At 46.1% G+C, this 26,485-nt stretch overlaps 3 annotated features.

The window, feature by feature from the left end:
- Window positions 14,475-14,754: an enhancer, noted in NCBI's record as "active region_28353". NCBI's record gives its function as "activates an Ori minimal core promoter by ATAC-STARR-seq in GM12878 lymphoblastoid cells {active_cell/tissue: GM12878}" and the evidence as "EXISTENCE:reporter gene assay evidence [ECO:0000049][PMID:35858748]".
- Window positions 15,858-15,997: an enhancer, noted in NCBI's record as "active region_28354". NCBI's record gives its function as "activates an Ori minimal core promoter by ATAC-STARR-seq in GM12878 lymphoblastoid cells {active_cell/tissue: GM12878}" and the evidence as "EXISTENCE:reporter gene assay evidence [ECO:0000049][PMID:35858748]".
- Window positions 22,118-22,728: an enhancer, noted in NCBI's record as "H3K27ac hESC enhancer chr9:36558262-36558872 (GRCh37/hg19 assembly coordinates)". NCBI's record gives its function as "activates a minimal SCP1, AML or CMV promoter by ChIP-STARR-seq in naive H9 embryonic stem cells {active_cell/tissue: H9 hESC(naive)}" and the evidence as "EXISTENCE:reporter gene assay evidence [ECO:0000049][PMID:30033119]".

A 26,485-nucleotide genomic window follows, 5' to 3' on the forward strand; every position in this document is an offset into this window, starting at 1 on the left:
TTTGAAATGTGAAGACATGAGATTTGGGAGGGGCCAGGTGTGGAATGATATGTTTGGCTGTGTCCCCACCCAAATCTCTTCTTGGATTCCCATGTGTTGTGGGAAGGACCCAGTGGGAAGTAATTGAGTCATGGGGGCAAGTCTTTCCCACGCTGGTTTTTTTTTTTTTTTTTTTTTTTGAGATGGGGTCTCACTTTGTCGTCCAGGCGGGAGTGCAGTGGCACAATCTCAGCTCACTGCAACCTCTGCATCCCCAATTCAAGCAATTCTCCTGCCTCAGCCTCCTGAGTAGCTGGGACTACAGGTGCACACCACCACACCCAGCTAATTTTTGTATTTTTAGTAGAGACAGGGTTTCGCCATGTTGGTCAGGCTGGTCTCAAACTTCTGACCTCAGGTGATCCACCTGCCTCGGCCTCCCAAAGTGCTGGGAGTACTTTGGGTGAGCCACCCATGGTGTGAGCTACCTTGAAAGACCCAAATCACTTCTTTTTTTTTTTTTTTTTTTCTGAGAGGGAGTCTCTGTCACCCAGGCTGGAGTGCAATGGCACAATCTCAGTTCACAGCAACCTCCACCTCTGGGGTTCAAGTGATTCTCCCACCTCAGCCTCCTGAGTAGCTGGGATTTCAGGTGTGTGCCACCATGCCTGGCTAATTTTTGTATTTTTAGTAGAGACAGGGTTTCACCACGTTGGCCAGGCTGGTCTCGAACTCCTGACCTCATGTGATCCACCTGCCTTGGCCTTCCAAAATGCTGAGATTACAGGCGTGAGCCACTGTGCCCAGCCCCAAATCCCAAATCACTTCCAATAGTAGAAATGGAAATAAATGTGAGCTCGGAAAAGATCAATATAAACAAGAAAGATAATTATTTACCCAAGTTTTGGTATATCTGAGTGATGGCAGTTGTAGTGGTGGTGGGTTAAGTCATGGAATAAATGCTTAGAAAGGGAAAATTGTAAGGAGTGCTTCCTACAATCATGCAGTTCAAAAACAATCACAAATATGGTCGGCTTGCTAAGTAGTTTCTTCTTTTTTTTTTTTTTTTGGAGACGGAGTCTCACTCTGTCGCCTGGTGTACAGTCGCGATCTCAGCTCACTGCAAACTTTGCATCCCGGTTTCAAGTGATTCTCCTGCCTCAGCCACTTGAGTCACTGGATTACAGGTGCCTGCCACTACACTCAGCTAATTTTCTGTATTTTTAGTAGAGACGGGGTTTCACCATATTGGCCAGGCTGGTCTCAAACTCCTGACCTCGTGATTCACCCGCCTCGGCCTCCAAAAGTGCTGGGATTATAGGCGTAAGCCACCACGCCCGGCCTCGCTGAATACTTTCATACTATATCATTTATTGTCACACATCTGTGTGATTGTTGTATACTTTATGAATTTTTTATTGTACAAAAATTTGCATTCATTTATTCATTTTCTTTTCTTTTTTTTTTTTTTTTGAGACGAAGTCTCGCTCTGTCACCCAGGCTGGAGTGCAGTGGCGCGATCTTGGCTCACTGCAAGCTCCACCTCCTGGGTTCACGCCATTCTCTTGCCTCAGCCTCCCGAGTAGCTGGTACTACAGGCACCTGCCACCCTGCCCTGCTAATTTATTGTATTTTTAGTAGAGATGGGGTTTCACTGTGGTCTCGATCTCCTGACCTCGTGATCCGCCTGCCTTGGCCTCCCAAAGTGCTGGGATTACAGGTGTGAGCCACTGCTCCTGGCCCATTTATTCATTTTCTAACCCACTTATTCCAGTTCAAGGTTGCGGGTAGCCAGAGCCTAGCTCGGCAGGTCATAGCACAGGGCTGGAACCTGCCCTGGACTGGACACTATCCTGTTGTAGAGCACACTCTCACACACACCTGCACACACACCCACACTCACTCAGACCAAGACAATTTAGACATGCAATGAACCCACGCTGATTAATCAACAGCATTTGCTTTGGGATGTGGGAGGAAACCACAGTACCTGAAGGAAACCCACACAGACATGGGAGAGTGTGCAAATTCCACACAGGCAGGGCCCCTGCCGGGAAGCTTTTCTTTTTTTTTCCCTCATCTAAGTTATAAGGAAACCAGGCCAGGCTCAGTGGCTCATGCCTCTATATTTCCAGCACTTTGGGAGGCTAAGGTGGGAGGATCGCTTGATTTCAGGAGTTCAAGATCAGCCTGGGCAACATAGTGAGATCCTGTCTGTACAAAATATACAAAAATTACCCGGGTGTGGTGGCCTGTGCCTATAGTCCCAGCTACTCGGGAGGCTGAGGTGGGAGGATCACTTGAGGCCTTGATTGTCGAGGCTGCAGTGAGCTGTGATCAGGCCACTGCACCCCAGCCTGGGTGACAAAGAGAGACCTTGTCTCAAAAAAAAAAAAAATTTATAAGTGAGCCACATTGTACAAAATTATGGTCTTCCAGGACCTGATACATTTCTGTCACTCCAAAAATTCTGTCATTCCCCTGCTCCTTTCTTTTCTTTTTTTTTAGACAGAGTGGAGTCTCGTTCTGTCGCCCAGGCTAGCGGGCAGTGGCGTGATCTTGGCTCACTGCAAGCTCCACCTCCCGGGTTCATGCCATTCTCCTGCCTCAGCCTCCCAAGTAGCTGGGACTACAGGCGCCTGCCGCCACGCCTGGCTAATTTTTTGTATTTTTAATAGAGACGGGGTTTCACCGTGTTAGCCAGGATGGTCTCGATCTCCTGACCTCATGATCCGCCTGCCTCGGCCTCCCAAAGTGCTGGGATTACAGGCGTGAGCCACTGCGCCCGGCCTCTATGTGCTTATTTATATATCTTCTTTTGTGAAGTGTCTGTTCACGTCCTTTACTGTCTTTCTCATTGATTTGTACTTGGAGCCTACTTTGTTGCCAAGGTGACGTATACAGAACCCAGAAGCCCATCTTGAATTCACATGCCCTGGCATACAGGTTCAAGGCAGGAAGAAAGGCCAGGTGTCTATAATTCGAAGGATCTGCACCTACTTAGGAGTTAGGCTACACAGGACTATACAAGTGTTGCAAATCGGGTCTTTTGGTGTTGGGCACAACACAGCGCACCTGGGCAAAGAGCAGAACTCCTGAATCTTACACTACAGTAGTGATTTATAACCCTGGATGCTAATAAGAACCACCTGGGGAATTCTTGGTCCCAAATTCTGGTTTAATTGGTGGACGTTCAGTCTGGGCATTTGGAATTGTAAAAGCTTTCCAGGTGATTGTAATATGCAGTGAAAGTTGAAAATCACTGTTCTGGAAGGACATTCACTGATTATTAAGCATATGCTATGCTATTTTGTGAAACTATCAAGTTAATTTAAACCAAACTTTAAATTAGGTGTTTTTTTTCCCACATAGATAAACTGGGGGAGCTGAAGATTTTTAGCTCTTTATCAACATCAAGTATCAAACTATAGAATGTGGCCAGGCGCAGTGGCTCACGCCTGTAATCCCAGCACTCTGAGAGGCCAAGGTGGGCGGATCACAAGTTCAGGAGTTTGAGACCAGCCTGGCCAACATGCCGAAACCCCATCTCTACTAAAAATACAAAAATTAGCCAGGCATGGTGGCAGGTGCCTGTAATCCCAGATACTCGGGAGGGGCTGAGGCAGGAAAATTGCTTGAACCTGGGAGGCAGAGGTTGCAGTGAGCCGAGATCATGCCATTGCACTCCAGCCTGGGTGACAAGAGCAAGACTCCATCTCAAAAAACAAACAACAACAACAACAAAAACTTTAGAATGTAGACCCTGATGATCACTATCCAGTCTCTATAATTTTCTCAAGGCCCCATCTCATCTATAATAATCATGTTTGAAATAAGAATTTAGCTATCATAGTTCTAGACACATTTACCCAGCAGTTAAAATGAGATGTAAGAGTCCTCTTTATTTATTGTCTTAAGCTGATATGGAGACATCTCATGTACTTGTAATTTGCTTCCAAGTTCTATCCCCAAAAAGCCAGATTTCAAATTTGAAAAAGGTTGTACAGAGATTATGATGTAGGGCCAGGGGTCAGCAAACTATGACTAGTAGGCCACATCCTTCCTGTGGGCCAGATCCAGTCTATTGCCTGTTTTTTGTAAAGCCTGAGAGCTAAGAATGGTTCTAATATATTTAAATTAATGAAGAAAATCAAAATGAGAGTAATAATAATTACATGAAAATCAAATTTCAGTGTCCATAAATACATTTTTTATTTGAAGACAGCCATGCTTGTTCATTTACTTATTCTTTATCATTGCTTTTGCATACAAATGCAGAATTGAGTAATTATAACAGAAACTTCATGGCCCACAAAACCTGAAATATCCACTATTCAGATTTTTTTGGGGTTTCACTATATTGCCCAGGCTGGTCTCAACTCCTGGGCTCCAGAGATCCTCCCACTTTGACCTCCCAAATGCTGAGATTACAGGCATGAGCCACCTCACCCAACCCTATTTGGATCTTTATGGAATAGATTTGCTGCCCTGTGATTTAGATAAAGATTCTCTGAATGGGAGAAGAGAAGAATTGGGGAATTGAGGAATGCATAGATCGAGTCTTTCACTAAGAATGAGCCCCGTCTACCCACTTTCCCACTAAGCCAAGCCCTGGGAGATAAAGACTAAATAGTAGTAAATAACAGAACTTCTAATTTGTTTGGGTAATCTGAATGCAGAGGGCTGACCCGCTTCCTGGTTAGAGCCCCAAGTATTTTTTTTTTTTTTTGAGTCAGAGTTTTGCTTTTGTTGCCCAGACTGGAGCACAATGCCTTGATCTCGGCTCACCACAACCTCTGCCTCCTGGTTCAAGCGATTCTCCTGCCTCAGCCTCCCGAGTAGCTGTGATTACAGGCATACGTACCACCACGCCCGGCTAATTTTGTATTTTTAGAAGAGACGGGGTTCCTCCATGTTGGTCAGGCTGGTCTCAAACTCCCGACCTCAGGTGATCTGCTCACCTCAGCCTCTCAAACTGCTGGGATTACAAGCATGAGCCACCGCACCCAACCCTATTTGGATCTTTATGGAATAGATTTGCTGCCCTGTGGTTTAGATAAAGATTCTCTGAGTCAGGAAACAACAGGTGCTGGAGAGGATGTGGAGAAATAGGAACACTTTTACACTGTTGGTGGGACTGTAAACTAGTTCAATGATTGTGAAAGATAGTGTGGCGATTCCTTAAGGATCTAGAACTAGAGGCCGGGCGCGGTGGCTCACACCTATAATCCCAGCACTTTTGGAGGCCGAGGCGGGTGGATCACGAGGTCAGGAGATCGAGACCATCCTGGCTAACATGGTGAAACCCCCGTCTCTACTGAAAATACAAAAAATTAGCCAGACGTGGTGGCAGGTGCCTGTAGTCCCAGCTACTTGGGAGGCTGAGGCAGGAGAATGGCGTGAACCCGGGAGATGGAGCTTGCAGTGAGCTGAGATCATGCCACTGCACTCCAGCCTGGGGGACAGAGCGAGACTCCGTCTCAAAACAAAACAAAAAAAGGATCTAGAACTAGAAATACCATTTGACCCAGCCAACCCATTACTGGGTATATACCCAAAGGATTATGAATCATGCTGCTATAAAGACACATGCACACATATGTTTATTGCGGCACTATTCACAATAGCAAAGACTTGAAACCAACCCAAATGTCCATCAGTGATAGACTGGATTAAGAAAATGTGGCACATATACACCATGAAATACTATGCAGCCATAGAAAAGGATGAGTTCATGTCCTTTGTAGGGACTTGGATGAAGCTGGAAACCATCATTCTGAGCAAACTATCGCAAGGACAGAAAACCAAACACTGCATGCTCTCACTCATAGGTGGGAATTGAACAATGAGAACACTTGGACACAGGGTGGGGAACATCACACACCGGGGCCTGTCATGGGGTGGGGGGAGCAGGGAGGGATAGCATTAGGAGATATACCTAATGTAAATGACGAGTTAACGGGTGCAGCACACCAACAGGGCACATGTATACATATGTAACAAACCTGCACATTGTGCACTTGTACCCTAGAACTTAAAGTATATATATAAAAAAAAATTCTCTGAATGGGGAAGGAGAAGAATTGGGGAATTGAGGGATGCATAGATATTATGAGTCTTTCACTAAGAATGAACCCTGTCTACCCACTTTCCCTGGGAGATAAAGACTAAATAGTAGTAAATAACAGAACTTTTAATTTGTTTGGGTAATCTGAATGTAGAGGGCTGACCCCCTTCCTGGTTAAAGCCGCAAGTAATAAATGGCTGTGTGATAGATAAATCTAGGCTCCTGGTTCCCAAAGTCTTGTTCCCAGACTTGCAGCATCACCATCACCTGGAAGCTTGTTTGAAGTGTAAATTCTCTAGCTTTGTCCCAGACTCACGGAATCAGGAACTTTGGGAGTGGAGCCCAACAGTCAGCATTGCAACAGGCCCTCCTAGTGGTGCTAATGCACAGAGGAGCTTGAGAAGCTCAGCAGGTAGAACCTTCGATAGCAGCCTGAATTTCCTGTGACTGTGCATAGCGCCCAGCCTGAAATAAAGTCTCATTTCTTGAAGAAGAAATTTGTGGCCAGGCGTGGTGGCTCACGCCTGTAATGCCAGCACATTGGGAGGCCGAGGCAGGCAGATCACCTGAGGTCAGGAGTCCGAGACCAGCCTGGCCAACATGGTGAAACCCTGTCTCTACAAAAACACAAAAATTAGCCGGGCGCAGTGGCTCAAGCCTGTAATCCCAGCACTTTGGGAGGCCAAGGCGGGTGGATCACGTGTTCAGGAGATCGAGACCATCCTGGCTAACACGGTGAAACCCCGTCTCTACTAAAAAAATACAAAAAAAATTAGCAGGGCGTGGTGGCGGGCGCCTGTAAACCCAGCTACTCGGAGGCTGAGGCAGGAGAATGGCGTGAACCCGGGAGGCGGAGCTTGCAGTGAGCCGAGATCGCGCCACTGCACTCCAGCCTGGGCGACAGAACGAGACTCCGTCTCAAAAAAACAAAAACAAAAACAAAAATTAGCCGGCATGATGACGGGTGCCTGTAATCCTAGCTCCTCAGGAAGCTGGAACAGGAGAATCACTTGAACCTGTAAGGCAGAGGTTGCAGTGAGCCAAGATCATGCCATTGCACTCCAGCCTGCACGACAGGGCAAGACTCCGTCTCAAAAAAAAAAAAAGAAAATTGGCTGATGTGGTGGCGAGTGCCTGTAATCCCAGCTACTTGGGAGGGTGAGACACAAGAATCACTTGAACCCGGGAGGCAGAGGTTGCAGTTAGCCAAGATCACGCCACTGCATTCTAGCCTGGGCGATGAATCGAGATTTTGTCTCAATAATAATAATAATAATAATAATAAAATAGGCCGGGCACGTTGGCTCACGCCTGTAATCCCAGCACTTTGGGAGGCCAAGGCGGGCAGCTATGCAGCACTGATTTATTCCAGATGGGCTGCTTTCCTCACTGTATTCTTCCTCTATGGGTGAACAAATCCACCTGTTGGTACTTATGCATTCATATGGCATGAATATGCCTTGCTATGGATTATTGCTGTTCATCATCACTATATGATGGAGAAGGTGAGTGGGGGCAAGCAAGACCTTGCTGGTAGGCAGCAGCAAGCCACTGTTACAGGGAATCCTACAGTCAAGGTTTGCTCAGCATTTTCCCAATTCAGGGGGTTAGTCCTAGGGTTATTCATCCTCTATCACACAGTTCTCCAAGAATACTTTACTGTGGCATCTCTTAGTTATGAATGTTACTTCTTTTTCCAAGCTAATGTCACCACAGAACAGTGAAAACTTAGGAGTTCCCTTCCAGGCTATTGTGTTCCTAACTGGTACCTGCGACTTGCCAAGGATTCACGAGTGCCTTGTTTTGGTGGTTTTCATGTGGCTGTGGCTTGTCTCCAGGCAGGCCTGCAATGAGATATGTGTATCCATGTGGGTGGTCTGCACAAAGTACAACCATGGGAGTGGTCAGAAGAATTTCATAAGGCTGAACAAATGGGCTTGGCAGGTCTTTCTCCAGAATTCCTTTTGTAGGCCAGTTTCCCAGCTGCAATGGATGTGTTGGCATGGAGTCCAGTCTTAGCCTCGAGGCCTGCTGAGGCCTGCGGTTCTTTTTTTTTTTTGAGACTGAGTCTCGCTCTGTCACCATGCTGGCATGCAGTGGCACAAACGCATCCGGGGTATTTTTTTAAATCTACATTTTATTATTTTTATTTTTATTTATTTATTTTTTGAGACGGAATCTTGCTCTGTAGTCCAGGCTGGAGTGCAGTGGCATGATCTTGGCTCACTGCAGCCTCTGCCGCCCAGGCTCAAGAGATTCTTCTGCCGCAGCCTCCTGAGTAGCTGGGATTACAGGTGTGCACCACCATGCGTGGCTAATTTTTGTATTTTTAGTAGAGACGGGGTTTCACCATGTTGCTCAGGATGGTCTTGAACTCCTGACCTCGTGATCCACTCACCTCGGCCTCCCAAAGTGCTGGGATTACAGGTGTGAGCCACCACGCCCGGCCTATTTTATTATTTTTAGAGACAGGATCTCGCTCTGTTGCTCAGGCTGGGGTGCAGTGGTGCAGTCATAGCTCACTGCAGCCTGCAACTCCTGGGCTCAAGCGATCCTCTTGCCTCAGCCTCCCATGTAGCTGGGACTACAGGCACCCAGCTAAGGAAAAAAACATTTAATTGAAGGAGGGGTAGCACGTACCAAAGCAAATTTTAGATGTCAAATTGAAAAAAATGAGAAAGTATGATATTTCCATTTGTTTTCACAAACATAAGGATAATATAACACCCAAGTCTCCTATTTTAAAATTCTACCTTATGTAGAGGCATATATTGAGTATCTATTAATTAAAAAGTTTTAAGCTGGGCGCGGTGGCTCACGCCTGTAATCCCAGCAATTTGGGAGGCCGAGGTGGGTGGATCACGAGGTCAAGAGATTGAGACCAGCCTGACCAACACAGTAAAACCTCATCTCTACTAAAAATACAAAAATTAGCCAGGCATGGTGGTGCATGCCTGTGGTCCCAGCTACTCGGGAGGCTGAGGCAGGAGAATCGCTTGAACCCGGGAGGCAGAGGTTGCAGTGAGCCGAGATAGCACCACTGCACTCCAACCTGGTGACAGAGTGAGAGACCATCTCAAAAAAAAAAAAAATAGATTTAAGAGACTGTATCTCTTGATAGGTCAAAGGAGAAGATGGATAAATATATAAAGCTATGGAACTATGCTGTCTAATATAGTAACTACTGGCCATATATGGCTATTGAGCAAAGCTAGTCTAAATTGAGTTGTGTTATAAGTGTAAAGCACATATCCAATTTCTTTTTTTTTTTTCCTTTTTTTTTTTTTTGAGGCGGAGTTTTGCTCTTGTTGCCCAGGCTGGACTGCAATGGCATGATCTCACCTCACCACAACTTCCACCTCCCAGGTTCAAGCGATTGTCCTGCCTCAGCCTCCCTAGTAACTGGGATTACAGGCAAGTTCCACCACGCCCGGGTAATTTTGTATTTTTAGTAGAGATGAGGTTTCTCCATGTTGGTCAGGCTGGTCTCGAACTCCTGACCTCAGGTGACCCGCTCGCCTCAGCCTCCCAAAGTGCTGGGATTACAGGCGTGAGCCACCGCACCCGGCTCCAATTTCAAACACTTAATATAAAAAAGAATAGGCGGCCGGGTGCGGTGGCTCACGCCTGTAATCTCAGCACTTTGGGAGGCCGAGGCTGGTGGATCACCAGTCAGGAGATCAAGAACATCCTGGCTAACATGGTGAAACCCCATGTCTACTAAAAATACAAAAAATTAGCCGGGTGTGGTGGCGGGCGCCTGTAGTCCCAGCTACTAGGGAGGCTGAGGCAGAATGGCGTGAACCCGGGAGGTGGAGCTTGCTGCAGTGAGCCGAGATTGCGCCACAGCACTCCAGCCTGGGCGACAGAGCGAGACTCCATCTCAAAAAAAAAAAAGAAAGGAAGGAAGAAAAGAAAAGTATAGGCCAGGCATGGTGGCTCACGCCTGTAATCCCAGCACTTTGGGAGGCTGAGGAGGGCAGATCACTTGAGGTCGGGAGTTTGAGACCAGCCTGACCAACATGGAGCAATCCCGTCTCTACTAAAAATACAAAATTAGCCAGGCATGGTGGCATATGCTTGTAATCCCAGCTACTCAGGAGGCTGAGGCAGGAGAATCACTTGAACCAGGGAGGCTGAGGTTGTGGTGAGCTGAGATCCCGCCATTGTACTCCAGCCTGGGCAACAAGAGCAAAACTCCCTTTCCAAAAAAAAATTAATAAAATAAAAATAAAAAAATATAGAATACTTCATTAATAATTTTTTCTGCCAGACACGGTGGCTCACACCTGTAATCCCCGCACTTTGGGAACCTGAGGCAGGAGGATTGCTTGAGCTCAGAAGTTTGAGACCAACCTGGGCTCATATCTACAAATATATTTTTTTAAATCAGCTGGGCATGGTGGCACATACCTCTGGTCCCAGCTAATCAGTATGCTGAGTGGGGAGGATCACCTGAGCCCAGGAGTTTGAGACTGCAGTGAGCTGTATTTGTACCACTGTACGCCAACCTGGACGACAAAGTGAGATTTTATCTCAAAAACAATTTTTTTTTTCTAAGTGATTACGTGTTGAAATCATATTATGTATCTATTGGGTTAAATAAAATATCAAAATTAATTCACCTTTTAAAGAAAACTTTTTAATATGGCTACTAGAAAATTTAAAGTTTGAACCCAGGAGGCGGAGGTTGCAGTGAGCCAAGATCGTGCCACTGCATGCCAGCTTGGGCGACAGAGGGAGACTCCATCTCAAAAAAAAAAAAAAGAAAGAAAGAAAATTTAAAATTATAATATGGCTTGCATTATATTCCTATGGGATAGCACTGCTAGAGAGAAATTGTGATGAAGACCCATGGGAAATGTATCAAAGTTGAAATACATGGAAAACTTAACTAAATGGTTTAATAAGTACATTTCAATAATATTTTTTAGCATTGTGTCAAAATTATAACGTGGCAAAAACATTAGCTTTTCATAAAATAACCCTTACTAACGAAATTTAATGGTATTTCCATGTCATTACTCTGCCAATTTAATAATTGGTATTTGGTTCTAAGTCTGTTAAAAGGAGTTTTGAATCTTCTCTGTTACCTACTTGCATGTGCATTTGTTTTTTGTTGTTTGTTTGAGATGGAGTCTCACTCTGCTCCCAGGCTGGAGTGCAGTGGCACGATCTTGGCTTACTGCAACCTCCACCTCCCAGGTTCAAGCAATTCTGCCTCAGCCTCCTGAGTACCTGGGATTATAGGCATGTGCCACCATGTCCGGCTCATTTTTGTATTTTTACTAGAGACGGGGTTTCACCATGTTGGCCAGGCTGGTCTTGAGTTCCTGACTTCAAGTGATCTGCCTGCCTCAGCCTCCCAAAGTGCTGGGATGACAGGCGTGAGCCACCACGCTGGCCTGCATGTGCATTTGCAATTACAAATGTAGTGACCCAGGAAGGTTGTACTGACACTCACATTCTAGTAGATGCATGGCCAAAAACAATTTGATTTCCCAAAATGGTCAACAACACTTGGTAAGGTTCCCAACCAAACAAAGTACATTTTTCTTACATTTACACAGCAGTTTGGTTCCTGGAAAATTCGGTGAATGTTAAAACCATGCAAAAATACTTCTCTTTGTGTGTATGTGGAGTGGGGGCGTGTATGTAAAACAGAATCAGCTCAGATCATTATAAACAGATTTTTATCTTACAGGAATCTCTGGTGATACAGTGGAAAATCCTAAAAGACACAAAGCAATTATTTGCTATGAAGAGAGTGTGGCATCCCTGCCCTCCCCCATTACGTGCTTATAGCGTCTCAATATTTTGTAAACATTTTTTGGGGGGAATAATTATAGATTCACAGGAACTTCCAAAGAAATGTCCAGGAAGTTCCACTGCACCCTTCACTCCATTCTCCCTCAATGTTAATATCTTCCATGGCTACAGTGCAATATCAAAACCAGGAAATCAACATTGGTACAATGCACAGAGCCTATTCAGATAGGAAACCAACATTGGTATAATCCTCATCACTTGTTCAGACTTCACCCATTATACTTGCAGTCATTAGTGTGTGTGTATGTGTCTTGCTTTATATAACATTACCACATGCCTAGCTTTGTATAATTACCATTATAATCAAGATACACAACTGTCGAGTAGGGAGGGATCATGGCAGTGGGGAGGCAGGACTAGATTGCAGCTCCCACTTGGACGGACAGAGCAGTGTGCAGCCTCTCGCATCGTGAACTTTTGCTCCAGAAGTACTGCAGGAATAGATCAGGAAAGCTGAGAGAACCCACAGACCCTAGGAAGGAAGCAGATTGCTCCTGCAGGACCTGGGAGACACCCTAAATACTGTGTTGGTATCCATGGCTGAGAGACCTACAGATGGTCACATCACATGACTCTGTGCAGACAACCCCCAGTATTAGCCAGGAGCCTGGTAGACCTGTTGGGTGGCTAGATCCAGAAGAGAGATAACAATCACTACAGTTCTACTATCAGGAAACCACATCCCTAGGAAAATGGGGAGAGTACCACATCAAGGGAACACCCCATGGGACAAAAGAACCCGAACAACAGCCTTGATCCCTAGACCTTCCCTCTGACAAAGCCTACACCAATGAGAAGGAACCAGAAAACCAACTCTGGTAATATGACAAAACAAGTTCTTCAACACTCTGCAAAAATCACACCAGCTCAGAAGCGATGGATCCAACCAAGAAGAAATCCTTGATTTACCTGAAAAAGAATTCAGAAGGTCAGTTACTAAGCTAATCAAGGAGGCACCAGAAAAAGGCAAAGCTCAATTTAAGGAAATCAAAAAAAGATATAAGAAATGAAGGAAGAAATCTTCAGTGAAAAAGATAGCATAAATAAAAAACAATCAAAACTTCAGGAAACAATGGATGCACTTATAGAAATGCAAATGCTCTGGAAAGTCTCAGCAATAGAATCGAACAAGCAGAAGAAAGAATTCAGGGCTCGAAGACAAGGTTTTCAAATTAACCCAATTCAACAAAGACAAAGAAAAAAGAATAAGAAAATATGAACAAAGCCTCCAAGATGTCTAGGATTATGTTAAACGACCAAACCTAAGAATAATCGGCGTTCCTGAGGAAGAAGAGAAATCTAAAAATTTGGAAAACATATTTGGGGGAATAATCAAGGAAAACTTCCCCAGCCTTGCTAGAAACCTAGACATCCAAATACAAGAAGCTCAAAGAACACCTGGGAAATTCATCGCAAAAAGATCATCACCAAAAAAAAAAAAAAAAAAAAAAAAATGGCCAGGCGCGGTGGCTCATGCCTGTAATCCCAGCACTTTGGGAGGCTGAGGCAGGCAGATCACCTGAGGTTGGGAGTTCGAGACCAGCCTGACCAATATGGAGAAACCCCATCTCTACTAAAAATACAAAAATTAGCCAGTGTCGTGGTGCATGACTGTAGTCCCAGCTACTCAGGAGGCTGAGGCAGGAAAATCGCTTGAACCTAGGAGGTGGAGGTTGCAATGAGCTGAGATCGTGCCACTGCACTCTAGCCTGGGTAACAGAGTAAGACTCTGTCTTTAAAAAAAAAAAAAAAAAAAAGGATCATCTCCAAGGCACATTGTTGTCAGGTTATCTAAAGTTAACATGAAGGAAAGAATGTTTTTTTTTTGAGATGGAGTTTCGCTCTTGTTGCCCAGGCTGGAGTGCAATGGCGCAATCTCGGCTCACCACAACCTCTGCCTCCCAGGTTCAAGCGATTCTTCTGCCTCAGCCTCCTGAGTAGCTGGAATTACAGGCATGTGCCACCATGCCCAGCTAATTTTGTATTTATGGAGGAGACAGGGTTTCTCCACATTGGTCAGGCTGGTCTTGAACTCCCGACCTCAGGTGATCCGCCCGCCACGGCCTCCCAAAGTGCTGGGATTACAGGCATGAGCCACCTCGCCCAGCCCTACCTAGATTGGCATTTTTATTATTATTATTATTGTTTGTTTGTTTGTTTTTTGAGATGGAGTTTCGCTCTTGTTGCCCAGGCTGGAGTGCAATGGTGCGATCTGGGCTCATCGCAACCTCCAATTGGCTATTTTTACTTAGTATGATTCACTTGAGGTTCATCCAAGTTGTATGTGTTAATAGCTCATTCACTTTGATTGCTGCGTAGTAGTCCATGGTTTGAATGTTCCGCAGTTCAGCCATTTATTTACTGAAAGACATTTAGAGGCTGGGCGTGGTTGCTCATGCCTGTAATCCCAACACTTCGGGAGGCCAAGGCAGGCAGGATCACTTGAGCCCAGAAGTTTAAGACAAGCCTGGGCAACATGGCAAACCCCCGTCTCTACAGAAAAATGAAAATTAGCCAGGCTTGGTGGTTCACACCTGTAGTCTCACCTACTCAGAAGATTAAGGTGAGAGGATCACCTGAGCTTGGGGGTGCGGAGGTTGCAGTGAGCTGAAATCATGCCAGTGCACTCCAGCTTGAGTGAGAGTGACACTCTGTCTCAAAAAAAAAAAACACCTTTAGATAATTTACAGTGTTTGGCTATTATGAATAAAGCTGCTGTGAACACTATTACGAGCTTGTGTGTGAAAAAAAATTTTATGTGAGAAAAATGACCAAGAGTGAAATTGCTGAGTCATATGTTAAGTCCATTTTGGGTGGTAAAAAAAAAGCAGCCCTGGCCGGGCAGGGTGGCTCATGCCTGTAATTTCAGCACTTTGGGAGGCTGAGGCAGGCAGGTCACGAGGTCAGGAGTTCGAGGCCAGCCTGACCAACATGGTGAAACTCCATCTCTACTAAAAATACAAAAATTAGCCAGGCATGGTGCCGCGCGCCTGTAATCCCAGCTACTCAGGAGGCTGAGGCAGGAGAATTGCTTGAACCCGGGAGGCGGAGGTTGCAGTGAGCTGAGATCGCACCACTGCACTCCAGCCTGGGCAACAGAGTGACACTCCGTCTCAAAAAAAAGAAAAAAGAAAAGGAAGAAGAAACAGCCCAAGTATTTTTCAGAGCGGCTGTACCATTTTACGTCCCATCCAGCAAAGTATGAGTGACTCAGAGTCTCTGCATCCTCACCAGCTCTTGGCATCATCACTATTTTTTATTTCAGCCATTCTTAGTACTTTGACAATCAAAATTTGCCCACAAATTTCTAAAATATTACCCAGATGGTAGCATTGTGTCTACTGAGAATCATTAGATGACTGGCTCTCAAACTAGGCTGTGCATTCAGATTGTCTAGAGCACTTTATAAACATACCTGTGGCTGGGTCCCTGCTTCACAGATTCTAGTTTAATTGGTCTGGGATGTGACCTGGCCATCAAGAATTGTAAAAGTTCCCCAGGTATTTCAATGTACAAACAAATTCATGAATCACTGATACTATTCCCACGTCTCAGTCATTTTAGTCCTAAAGTTTCAAAATCCTATGGATGAGATAAATCAAGGGTTGAGGCCAGGCGCAGTGGCTCGTGTCTGTAATCCCAACACTTTGAGAGGCCGAGATGGGCGGATCATGAGGTCAGGAGTTTGAGACCAGCCTGGCAATGTAATGAAACCCCGTCTCTACTAAAAATACAAAAATTAGCTGGATGTGGTGGCATGTGCCTATAATCCCAGCTACTCAGGAGGCTGAGGGAGGAGAATTGCTTGAACCCAGGAGGCGGAGGTTGCCATGAGCCAAGATCATGCCACTGCACTCCAGCCTGGGCGACAGAGCAAGACAATGTCTGGGGGGCGGGGAGGGGAATCAAGGGTCGAGATCATTTCTCCAGAATAAGATTTACAGCTAGTGCAGCATTATTTTCCCAGCAGAATGTCAGTAGAGCTCAAAGGGGAAGCAAAAGTAACTGTGGCCTAACATGCTGGGTTAGAAGAAGAAACTTCTTAAAATAGATATATAAGACTAAAACTAAGTCCAAATTACATAAAAACAAACCACAAATGCCTAGGACTCATTTCAATTCCTAGACATATGATGTAGTGGTACCAAAAGACGGGCTTTCGAATTAGAAGTTCTGGCCAATCACTGGGCACGGTGGCTCACACCTGTAATCCCAGCACTTTGAGAGGCTGAGGAGGGTGGATCACTTGAGGTCAGGAGTTCGAGACCAACCTAGCCAACATGGCAAAACTCTGTCTTTACTAAAAATACAAAAAGTAGCTGGGCGTAGTGGTGCACGCCTGTAATCCCAGCTACTCGGGAGGCTGAGGCAGGAGAATGGCTTGAACCAAGGAGAAGGAGTTTGCAGTGAGCCGAGATTATGCCGTTGCACTTCGGCCTAGGCGACACAGCAAGACTCCATCTCAAAAAAAACCAAAACAAAGACTTAGAAGTCCTGGTTTTGAGTTCTGGTTTTTCCATGTAAGAGCTGTGGGATCTTGGATGAGTCATTTGACCCCTCTAAACTTCAGTTTTCTATCCCTGAGATCTGCAATGATGAAAACCTCAGAGGTTTTTGGCAAAGCTTAAAGTGCCAATATGTGCTGTATTTTTAACAAAAACATGCTGCAATTATGATACAATTATTACGGATAGGAAAATTAGAAATATTTGTTATCCAGACCTCATCCAACTCACTCCAACCAATATCTGATGACCACATTTTATGTAATATTTAATATGTATTGTCATGGCCAGGCACAGTGGCTCATGCCTGTAATCCCAGCACTGTGGGAGGCGTGGCAGGTGGATCACTTGAGGTCAGGAATTTGAGACCATCCTGGCCAACATGGTGAAACTCCGTCTCTACTAAAATTCCAAAAATTAGCCGGGTATGGGGGCGGTGCCTGTAATCCCAGCTACTCAGGAGGCCGAGGCAGGAGAATTGCTTGAACCCAGGAGACAGAGGTTGCAGTGAGCTGAGATCACACCATTGCACTCCAGCCTGGGCAACAGAACAAGACTCCGTCCCCCTCCCCCACAAAAAAAAAAGGCCTGGTGTGGTGGCTCACACCTGTAATCCCAGCACTTTCAGAGGCCGAGGTGGGCAGACCACCTGAGGTCAGGAGTTTGAGACTAGCCTGGCCAACATGGTGAAACCCCGTCTCTACTAAAATACAAACATTGGCTGGACGTGGTGGTGGGTGCCTGTAATCCCCAGCTACTCGAGTGGTTGCGGCAGGAGAATTGCTTGAACACGGCAGGCAGAGGTTGCTGAGATCGTGCCATTGTACTTCAGCCTGGACGGCAAGAGCATAACTCTGTCTCAAAAACACATACACAGCCGGGCGCGGTGGCTCACGCCTGTAATCCCAGCACTCTGGGAGGCCGAGACGGGCGGATCACAAGGTCAGGAGATCGAGACCATCTTGGCTAACACAGTGAAACCCCATCTCTACTAAAAAATACAAAAAGTTAGCCGGGCATAGTGGTGGGCGCCGTGCCTGTAGTCCCAGCTACTCAGGAGGCTGAGGCAGGAGAATGGCGTGAACCCGGGAGGCGGAGCTTGCAGTGAGCCGAGATCGCGCCACTGCACTCCAGCACTCTAGCCTGGGTGACAGAGCAAGACTCCGTCTCAAAAAACAAACAAACAAAAACAAACACACACACACACACACACCAAAAAAAAAAAAACCCACAGAACAATACAATTTTATTTATTTATTTATTTATTTACAGAAACGAGGTCTCATTATATTGCCCAGGCTGGTCTTGAACTCCTGAGCTCAAGTGATCCTCCCGCCTCCGCGTCCCGATATGCTGGGATTACAAGCATGAGCCACCATGCCTGGCCCAGAATAATATAATTTGGGGCTTCTTAAGTTTAGTGTGCCTGCGAATCACCAAGGGATCTCTTTAAATTTCAGATATGATTCAGCAGGTCTTTGGCAGGGCCTGAGGCTCTGCATTTCTTTTGTTGTTATTTCGAGACAGAGTCTAGCTATGTCACCCAGGGTGGAGTGCAGTGGTGCGATCACTGCTCACTGCAGTCTTGCCTTCCTGGGCTCAAGCAGTCCTCCCATCTCAGCCTCCCAAGTAGCTGGGACTGCATGCCACCACACCCGGCTAATTTTTTTTTTTTTTTTTTGAGATGGAGTCTTGCTCTGTCGCCCAGGCTGGAGTGCAATGATGTGGTCTCAGCTCACTGCAACCCCTGCCTCCCGGGTTCGAGCGATTCTCTTCCTCAGCCTCCCAAGTAGCTGGGACTACAGGCGCCCACCACACCCAGCTAATTGTTGTATTTTTTTAAATAGAGACGGGGTTTCACTATGTTGGCCAGGCTTGTCTCAAACTGCTCACCTCATGATCCGCCCACCTCAGCCTCCCAAAGTGCTGGGATTACAGGTGTGAGCCACCGCACCCGGCCTAATTTTTGTATTTTTTGTAGAGACAGGGTTTCGCCGTGTTGCCCAGGCTGGTCTCGAACTTCTGGGCTCAAGTGACCCTCCTGCCTCAGCCTCTGAAAGTGTTGGGATTATAGGCGTGAGCCACTGTGCCCTGCCAGGCCCTGCATTTCTAACAAGCTCTTAGGTGACATCCGTGCTGGTTGTCTGCTGACATTTTGAGTAGCAAAGATATAATTTTCAAATACCATAACTCAGCTTTAATAACTGTTAACTACTGGTCAGCTTTGTTTCCATCTTCTTATCCATTCTCTGCCCCAGATGATTTTGAAGTAAATCTTGGACATTCTATGATTTACGTGTATTTAATTACATATCTCATTGAAAACTTCAGAATGCTTCCTTTGAAAAATATAATCATAATAGCATCAGGAGCGCCTCAAAAGTTTAACAATGACTTCTTTTTTTATTATTTTTATTTTTTATTTATTTTTTTATTTTTTGAGACAGAGTCTCGCTCTGTCGCCCAGGCTGGAGTGCAGTGGCACAATCTCGGCTCACTGCAACCTCCACCTCACGGGTTCACGCCGTTCTCCTGCCTCAGCCTCCCGAGTAGCTGGGACTATAGGCGCCAGCCATCACGCCTGGCTAATTTTTTGTATTTTAAGTAGAGACGGGGTTTTACCGTGTTAGCCAGGATGGTCTCGATCTCCTGACCTTGTGATCTGCCCGCCTTGGTCTCCCAAAGTGCTAGGACTACAGGCAGGAGCCACCGCGCCTGCCCTAACAGTGATTTCTGAGTATCATCCAGTATCCAGTCAATTCACATTTCCCTGATTGTCCCATGAATGCTTTTTTATTGTGATTTGTTAATATGTCTCTTCAGTCATTTTTTATTTTATTTATTTATATATTTTTGAGATGGAGTCTTGCTCTGTCACCCAGGCTACAGTGCAGTGGTGTCATCTCAGCTCACTGAAACCTTTGCCTCCCAGGTTCAAGTGATTCTCCTGCCTCAGCCTCCTGAGTAGCTGGGATTACAGGCTCGCACCACCATGCCCAGCTATTTTTAGTAGAGACAGGGTTTCACCTTGTTGGTTAGGCTGGTCTCGAACTCCTGACCTCGTGATCTGCTCGCCTCAGCCTCCCAAAGTGCTGGGATTACAGGCGTGAGCCACCATGCCCGGCCTCTTCAGTCATTTTTAACCTGAAGATTCTCCTTTCAGCTTTTTCTTTTCCTTACTTTTATTTATTTATTTATTTTTAAGAAACTAGGTATTTGTTCTGTAGAGTTTTCCAGTGTGGATTTTGCTGCCAACATCCTCCTGATGTTGTTGAGCATGTTCCTTTCTCTCTTGTATTTCCTATAAATTGGTATGGATCCAGAGCCTTAATTGGATTCAGGTTTGATTTTTTTGACAAGGCTACCTAATACACAGTGCTGTGCATTCCATCAGGAGGTGCCTCATGTCTTCTTGTCTTTCTGTCCATAATCTTTGTAAAGGAGTCATCTCGCCTAACAATGGAACCCGTGATTGGGGTCTGCTGCCACCGGGTGGTAGCAGCATGCCATAGCCGCAGGTTCAAGGAGTAGTAAAAGGGAAAAAACACTGCTGTGAGATCCCAGACGGCAGGACTTGTCCTCTTCATTGAACCTACAATAAATCATCATGATTCTCAAACACGATACTTCAAAGCTACTTTTATTTTATTATTATTATTATTTTTGTTATTATTGTTTTTGAGACGGAGTCTCACTCTGTAGCCCAAGCTGGAGTGCAGTGGCGTGATCTCGGCTCACTGCAACCTTCGCCTCTGGGACTCAAGCGATTCTCCTGCCTCAGCCTCTCGAGGAGATGGGACTAGAGGCACCCACCACCATGCCCAGTTAATTTTTTTTTTTTGTATTTTTAGTAGAGACCAGGTTTCACCATGTTGCCCTGGGTGGTCTCGAACTCCTAAGCTCAGGAGATCCACTCGCCTTGGCCTCCCAAAGTGCTGTGATTACAGGCGTGAGTCACCACACCTGGCCTATTATTATTATTTTTTAGAGACAGTCACCCAGGCTGGAGTGCAGTGGCACAATCATTGCTCACTGCAGCCTCAATCTCTCGGGCTCAAGCTATTCTCCCATCTCAGCCTCTTGAGTAGCGGGGACCACAGGCACACACCACCACGCCTGGCTAGTCTTTTTTTTTTTGCTTTTTTCTTTTGGTAGAGATGTGGTCTCACTAAGTTGCCCAGGAGCAAAGCTACTTTTAAAATGAGGCTGGGCACTGTGGCTCATGCCTGTAATCCTGAACTGAGGCAGGAGGATTGCTTGAGGTCAGGAGTTCAAGGCCAGCCTGGCCTACATGGTGAAACCTCATCTCTACTAAAAATACAAAAGTTAGCCAGGTGTCCAGGTGCAGTGGCTCACTCCTGTAATCCCAGCACTTTGGGAGGCCGAGGTGGGCGGAACACCTGAGGTCGGGACCAGCCTGACCAAGAGAGAGAAACCCTGTCTCTACTAAAAAGACAAAATTAGCCGTCGTGGTGGCGTGTGCCTGTAATCCCAGCTGTTCAGGCCGAGGTTGGCGGAACACCTGAGGTTGGGAATTCGAGACCAGCCTGACAAACAGGGAGAAACCCTGTCTCTGAGGCTGAGGCAGGAGAATCACTTAAACCTGGGAGAAGGAAGTTGCAGTGAGCCGAGACTGTGCCATTGCACCCCGGCCTGGGCAACAAGAGCGGAGCTCTGTCTCAAAAAAAAAAAAAAAAAGAAAATTAGCCAGGCATGGTGGTGCATGCTTGTAGTCCCAGCTACTCTGGAGACTGAGGCAGGAGAATCACTTGAACCTGGGAGGTGGAGGTTGCAGTGAGCCGAGATCAGGCCACTGCACTCCAGCCTCGACAACAGAGCAAGACTGTCTCAAAATAAATACATAAATAAATTAGTTAAATTAAATTAAACAATGCTGCTGGGTGCAGTGGGCTGACGCCTATAATCCCAGCACTTTGAGAGGTGGAGGCATGAGGATTGCCTGAGCCTAGGATTTCAAGGCTGCAGTGAACTATGATCAGCCACTGTACTCCAGCCTGGGTAACACAGCAAAACCCTGTCTCTAAAAAAATAAAATAGTCTAATGCTGTCTAATAGCATGAAATAATAGTTACAATTTATTAAGCCCAAGAACCTTATATCCATATCTCATTTAATTCTCACAACACCCAGGAATATTAAACCATGGTGTTCATGTTTTGTAAAACAGTGGTGATGCTGGAGTTTGCTGTCAAGACTTGTTCTCAACCATTTCTGTGCCAATCTTCTGTTTTGGTCTATATTGGAGTCACTTGTCCTTCCTGTCTCCACCCGACATCCCCTTACAGTGGTGCTGTTATTTTTTCTGTTTGTCCCACTGTCCTCCATTGCCATCCATTCCCCCTGGGAGACTGAACTTTCTCTTTAGTTTTTTTTTTTTTTTTTTAAAGACAGAGTCTCGCTCTGTCGCCCAGGCTGGAGTGCAGTGGCACAATCTCAGCTCACTGCGACCGCCACCTCCCAGGTTCAAGCAATTGTCCTGCCTCAGCCTCCCGAGTAGCTGGGATTAAAAGAGCACCCCACCACACCTGGCAAATTTTTGTATTTTTAGTAGAGACGGGGTTTCACCATGTTGGCCAGGCTGGTCTCAAACTCCTGACCTCAAGTGATCCACCTGCCTTGGCCTCCCAAAGTGCTAGGATTACAGGCATGAGCCACCACACCTGGTCTTACTTTTCCTTTCTTTCTTTCTTTTTTTTTTTTTTGAGATGGAGTTTGTGCTCTGTTGCCCAGGCTGGAGTGCAATGGCACGATCTCAGGTTACTGCAACCACCGCCTATTAGGTTCAAGCGATTCTCTCACCTCAGCCTCCCGAGTAGCTGGGATTACAGGCGTCCAACACCACGCCTGGCTAGTTTTTGTATTTTTTTGTTTATTTATTTTTTTTTGTGACAGAGTCTCCCTTCGTCGCCCAGGCTGGAGTGCAGTGGCGCAATCTCGGCTCACTGCCTCTGCCTTCCGGTTCAGTCAATTCTCCTGTCTCAGCCTCCCTAGTAGCTGGGACTACGGGCACACGCCACCATGGCCAGCTAATTTTTTGTTTCTGTTTTGTTTTGTTTTGTTTTGTCTTGTTTTTGAAACAGAGTCATGCTCTTGTTGCCCAGGTTGGAGTGCAATGGCACGATCTCGGCTCACTGCAACCTCTGCCTCCTGGATTCAATGGATTCTCCTGCCTCAGCCTCCCAAGTAGCTGGGATTACAGGTGCCCACCACCATGCCCAGCTAATTTTTTTTTTTGTATTTTTAGTAGAGACGGGGTTTCACCATGTTGACCAGGCTACTCCCAAACTCGGACGACCTGAAGTCGGAAGTTCGAGACCAGCAGGACCAACATGGAGAAACCCCGTCTCTACTAAAAATACAAAAAATTAGCCAGGCGTGGTGTTACATGCTTGTAATTCCAGCTACTTGGGAGGCTGAGGCAGGAGAATCACTTGAACCCAGGAGGTAGAGGTTGCAGTGAGCCGAGATTGCGCCATTGCCCTCTGGCCTGGGAGACAAGAGTGAAACTCCGTCTCAAAAAAAAAAAAAAAGTTTATCCTTTTTCCCTCTGGGCTCCATGCAGGTCCCTTTCCTTCTCCACTTTTGTTCCCAGCAATTTACGGTTTCCTTGATTATCATTTCTCTGATAACTATGTTACCAGAAAGGGCTCCTGATGCACATCCTAAGAGAGGGTTCTTGGATCTCACACAAGAAAGAATTCAGGGTGAGTCACTAGAGTAAGTGAAAGCAAGTTTATTAGGAAAGTAAAGGAAGAAAGGAATGCCTACTTTACAGACAGAGCAGCCCTGAGGGATGCTGGTTGCCCATTTTTATGGTTATTTCTTGATGATATGCTAAACAAGGGGTAAATTATTCATGCCTCCCCTTTTTAGACCATATTGGGTGACTTCCTGACGTTGCCATGGCATTTGTAAACTGTCATGGTGCTGGTGGGAACGTAGCAGTCAGGACACCCAGAGGTCACTCTCGTCGCCATCTTGGTTTTCGTGGGTTTTAACTGGCTCCTTTACTGCAACATGTTTTATCAGCAAGGTCTGTATGACCTGTATCTTGTGCTGACCTCCTATCTCATCCTGTGACTTAGAATGCCTTAACCTTCTGGGAATGCAGCCTAGTAGGTTTCAGCCTCATTTTACCCAGCTTTATTCAAGACGGAGTTGCTGTAGTTCAAATGCCTCTGACAATTATACCCTCTTAGTTATGTGCTTTCTGTTCTCTTGGTTAAGGTTTGTTCGCTTGTTTTTGAGACAGGTTCTCTCTCTCTTGCCCAGGCTGAAGTGCAGTGGCGTGATGTTGGGTCACTGCAAACTCCACCTCTGGGGTTCAAGCTATTCTCCTGCCTCAGCCTCCCGATAAGCTGGGATTACAGGCACCCACCACCAAGCCTGGCTAATTTTTGCATTTTTAGTAGAGACAGGGTTTCACCATGTTTGCCAGGCTGGTCTCGAACTCCTGGCCTCATGTGATCTGGCCGTCTCAGCCTCTCAAAGTGCTGGGATTACAGGCATGAGCCACTGTGCCCAGCTTTGGTTAAGGTTTGAAGGTGTCACAGGGTGAACTCCAGAATTGGGGTTCAGCCTGGGAGACCCCTTGGGTTCCTGGCTTCACAGGAAGGAATTCACAGCCTGGTTAACATGGTGAAATGCCATCTCTACACAAATACATATATTAGGTGGGTGTGGTGGCACATGCCTGTAATCCCAGCTACTCAGGAGGCTGAGGCACAAGAATCACTTGAACCCCGGAGGCAGGGGTTACAATGAGCTGAGATCGCACCACTACACTCCAGCCTGGGCGACAGAGTGAGACTGTCTTAAAAAAATAAATAAGTAGCTGGGAGTGGTGGCTCACTCCTGTAATCCCAACACTTTGGGAGGCTGAGGGGGGGTGGATCACGAGATCAGGAGTTCGAGACCAGCCTGACCAGCATGGTGAAACCTGGTTTTTACTGAAAATACAAAAAATTAGCCGGGCGGGGTGGTGCGTGCCTGTAATTCCAGCTACTTGGGAGGTTGAGGCAGGAGAATTGCTTGAACCCAGGAGGCAAAGGTTGCAGTGAGCTGAGATCGCGCCATTGCACTCTAGCTTGGGCAACAAGGGCGAAACTCCGTCTCAAAAAAATAATAAATAAATAAATAAAAAGTAGCCTCCATAGGCAGAGCAGCCCTGAGGGCTGGTGGGTGGCTCTTTTTATGGTTATTATGGTTATTTCTTTATTATATGCTAAACAAGGAGTGGATTCTTCATGAGTTTTCCAGGAAAGTGGCAGGGAATTCCTGGAACCTAGGGTTCCTCTTTCTTTCAGAGCATATAGGGTAACTTCCAGACATTGCCAGGGTGTTTGTAAACTGTCATTGCACTTGTGGGAGCTTCCTTTAGCATGCTAATGTATTATAATTAGCATATGATAAGCAGTTAGGATGACCAGGGGTCGCTTTCATGGCCATCTTGGTTTGGGTGGGTTTTGACCGGCTTCTTTTACTGTATGTTTTATCAACTGGGTCTTTGTGAGCTGTGTCTTGTGAAACCAGTCCTGCCAAACTCCTGTCTCAAAGGAAGTGCCTTCATTTCATCATCAACATTCTTAAAATTTTTTTCCTTTTTTTTTTTTTTTTTGAGACGGAGTTTCGCTCCTCTTGCCCAGGATGGAGTGCCATGGTGTGATCTTGGCTCACTGCAACCTCTGCCTCGCAGGTTCAAGCGATTCTCCTGCCTCAGCCTCCTGAGTAGCTGGGATTACAGGTGTGCACCACCATACCCGGCTAATTTTTGTATTTTTAGTAGAGATGAGGTTTCACCATGTTGGTCAGGCTGGTCTCGAACACCTGACCTTGTGATCCACCTGCCTTGGCCTCCCAAATTGCTGGGATTACAGGGGTGAGCCACCGTGCCTGGCCATGAACATCTTTTCATATGTTTAAGAGTCATTTGTTTTTACTGTCTGTTCATATCTTTTCCCTATTGTTATTCTGGTTGTTCTGGTTGTTAGCATTTTGTTTTGTTTTGTTTTGTTTTGAGATGGAGTCTCGCACTCTCACCCAGGCTGGAGTGCAGTGGCACCAGCCATCTCGGCTCACTGCAAGCTCCGCCTCCCGGGTTCACACCATTCTCCTGCCTCAGCCTCCCAAGTAGCTGGGACTACAGGCGCCCGCCACCATGCCTGGCTAATTTTTTGTATTTTTAGTAGAGACGGGGTTTCACCGTGTTAGCCAGGATGGTCTTGATCTCCTGACCTTGTGATCCGCCCACCTCAGCCTCTCAAAGTGCTGGGATTACAGGCGTGAGCCACCACGCCAGGCCTTTTTGTTTGTTTTTTTTGAGGCAGAGTCTCACTCTGTCGCCCAGGCTGGAGTGCAGTGGCGAGATCTCTGCTCACTGCAACCTCTGCCTCCCGGGTTCACACCATTCTCCTGCCTCAGTCTCCCGAGTAGCTGGGACTACAGGTGCCCGCCACCATGCCCGGCTAATTTTTTTTATTTTTAGTAGAGACAGGGTTTCACTGTGTTAGCTAGGATGGTCTCGATCTCCTGACCTCGTGATCCACCCGCCTCGGCCTCCCAAAGTGCTGGGGTTATAGGCGTGAGCCACCATGCCCGCCTTAGTTTTTTTATTGATTTAGTTTTCCTTATTGATTTGGAGAAATTATGTATTAAATAAGCTGGCCCCTTGTCCGTACATAAGTGATAAATATTTCCCACATTTTTTATTTGCTTTTGAATTTATTTGTGTTTTGATCATGTTGATGTTTTAATATTTTTATATAATTGTGATGGTTAATTTTAGGTGTTGCCTCTACTGGATTGAGGAATACCTAGAGAACTAGTAAAGCATTGTTTCTGGATGTGTCTGTGAGGATGTTTCCTCACAGTCAGTGGACTGAGAAGGGAAGATTCACTCTCAGTGTGAATGGGCACCATCCAATTGTCTAGGGGCCCAGTAGAACAAAAAAAGAGAGGAAAGGATTTCCTCTTCCTCCTTCCTCACTCCCCTCATCCCCAGAGCTGGGATATTCTCCTCCTCTTGCTCTTGGACATCAGAATTCCAGGCTTTCCAGACTTGGGACTCCAGGGCTTACAATCACCC

The sequence above is a fragment of the Homo sapiens genome, chromosome 9, assembly GCF_000001405.40.
Source record: "Homo sapiens chromosome 9, GRCh38.p14 Primary Assembly".
NCBI lineage: Eukaryota > Metazoa > Chordata > Mammalia > Primates > Hominidae > Homo > Homo sapiens.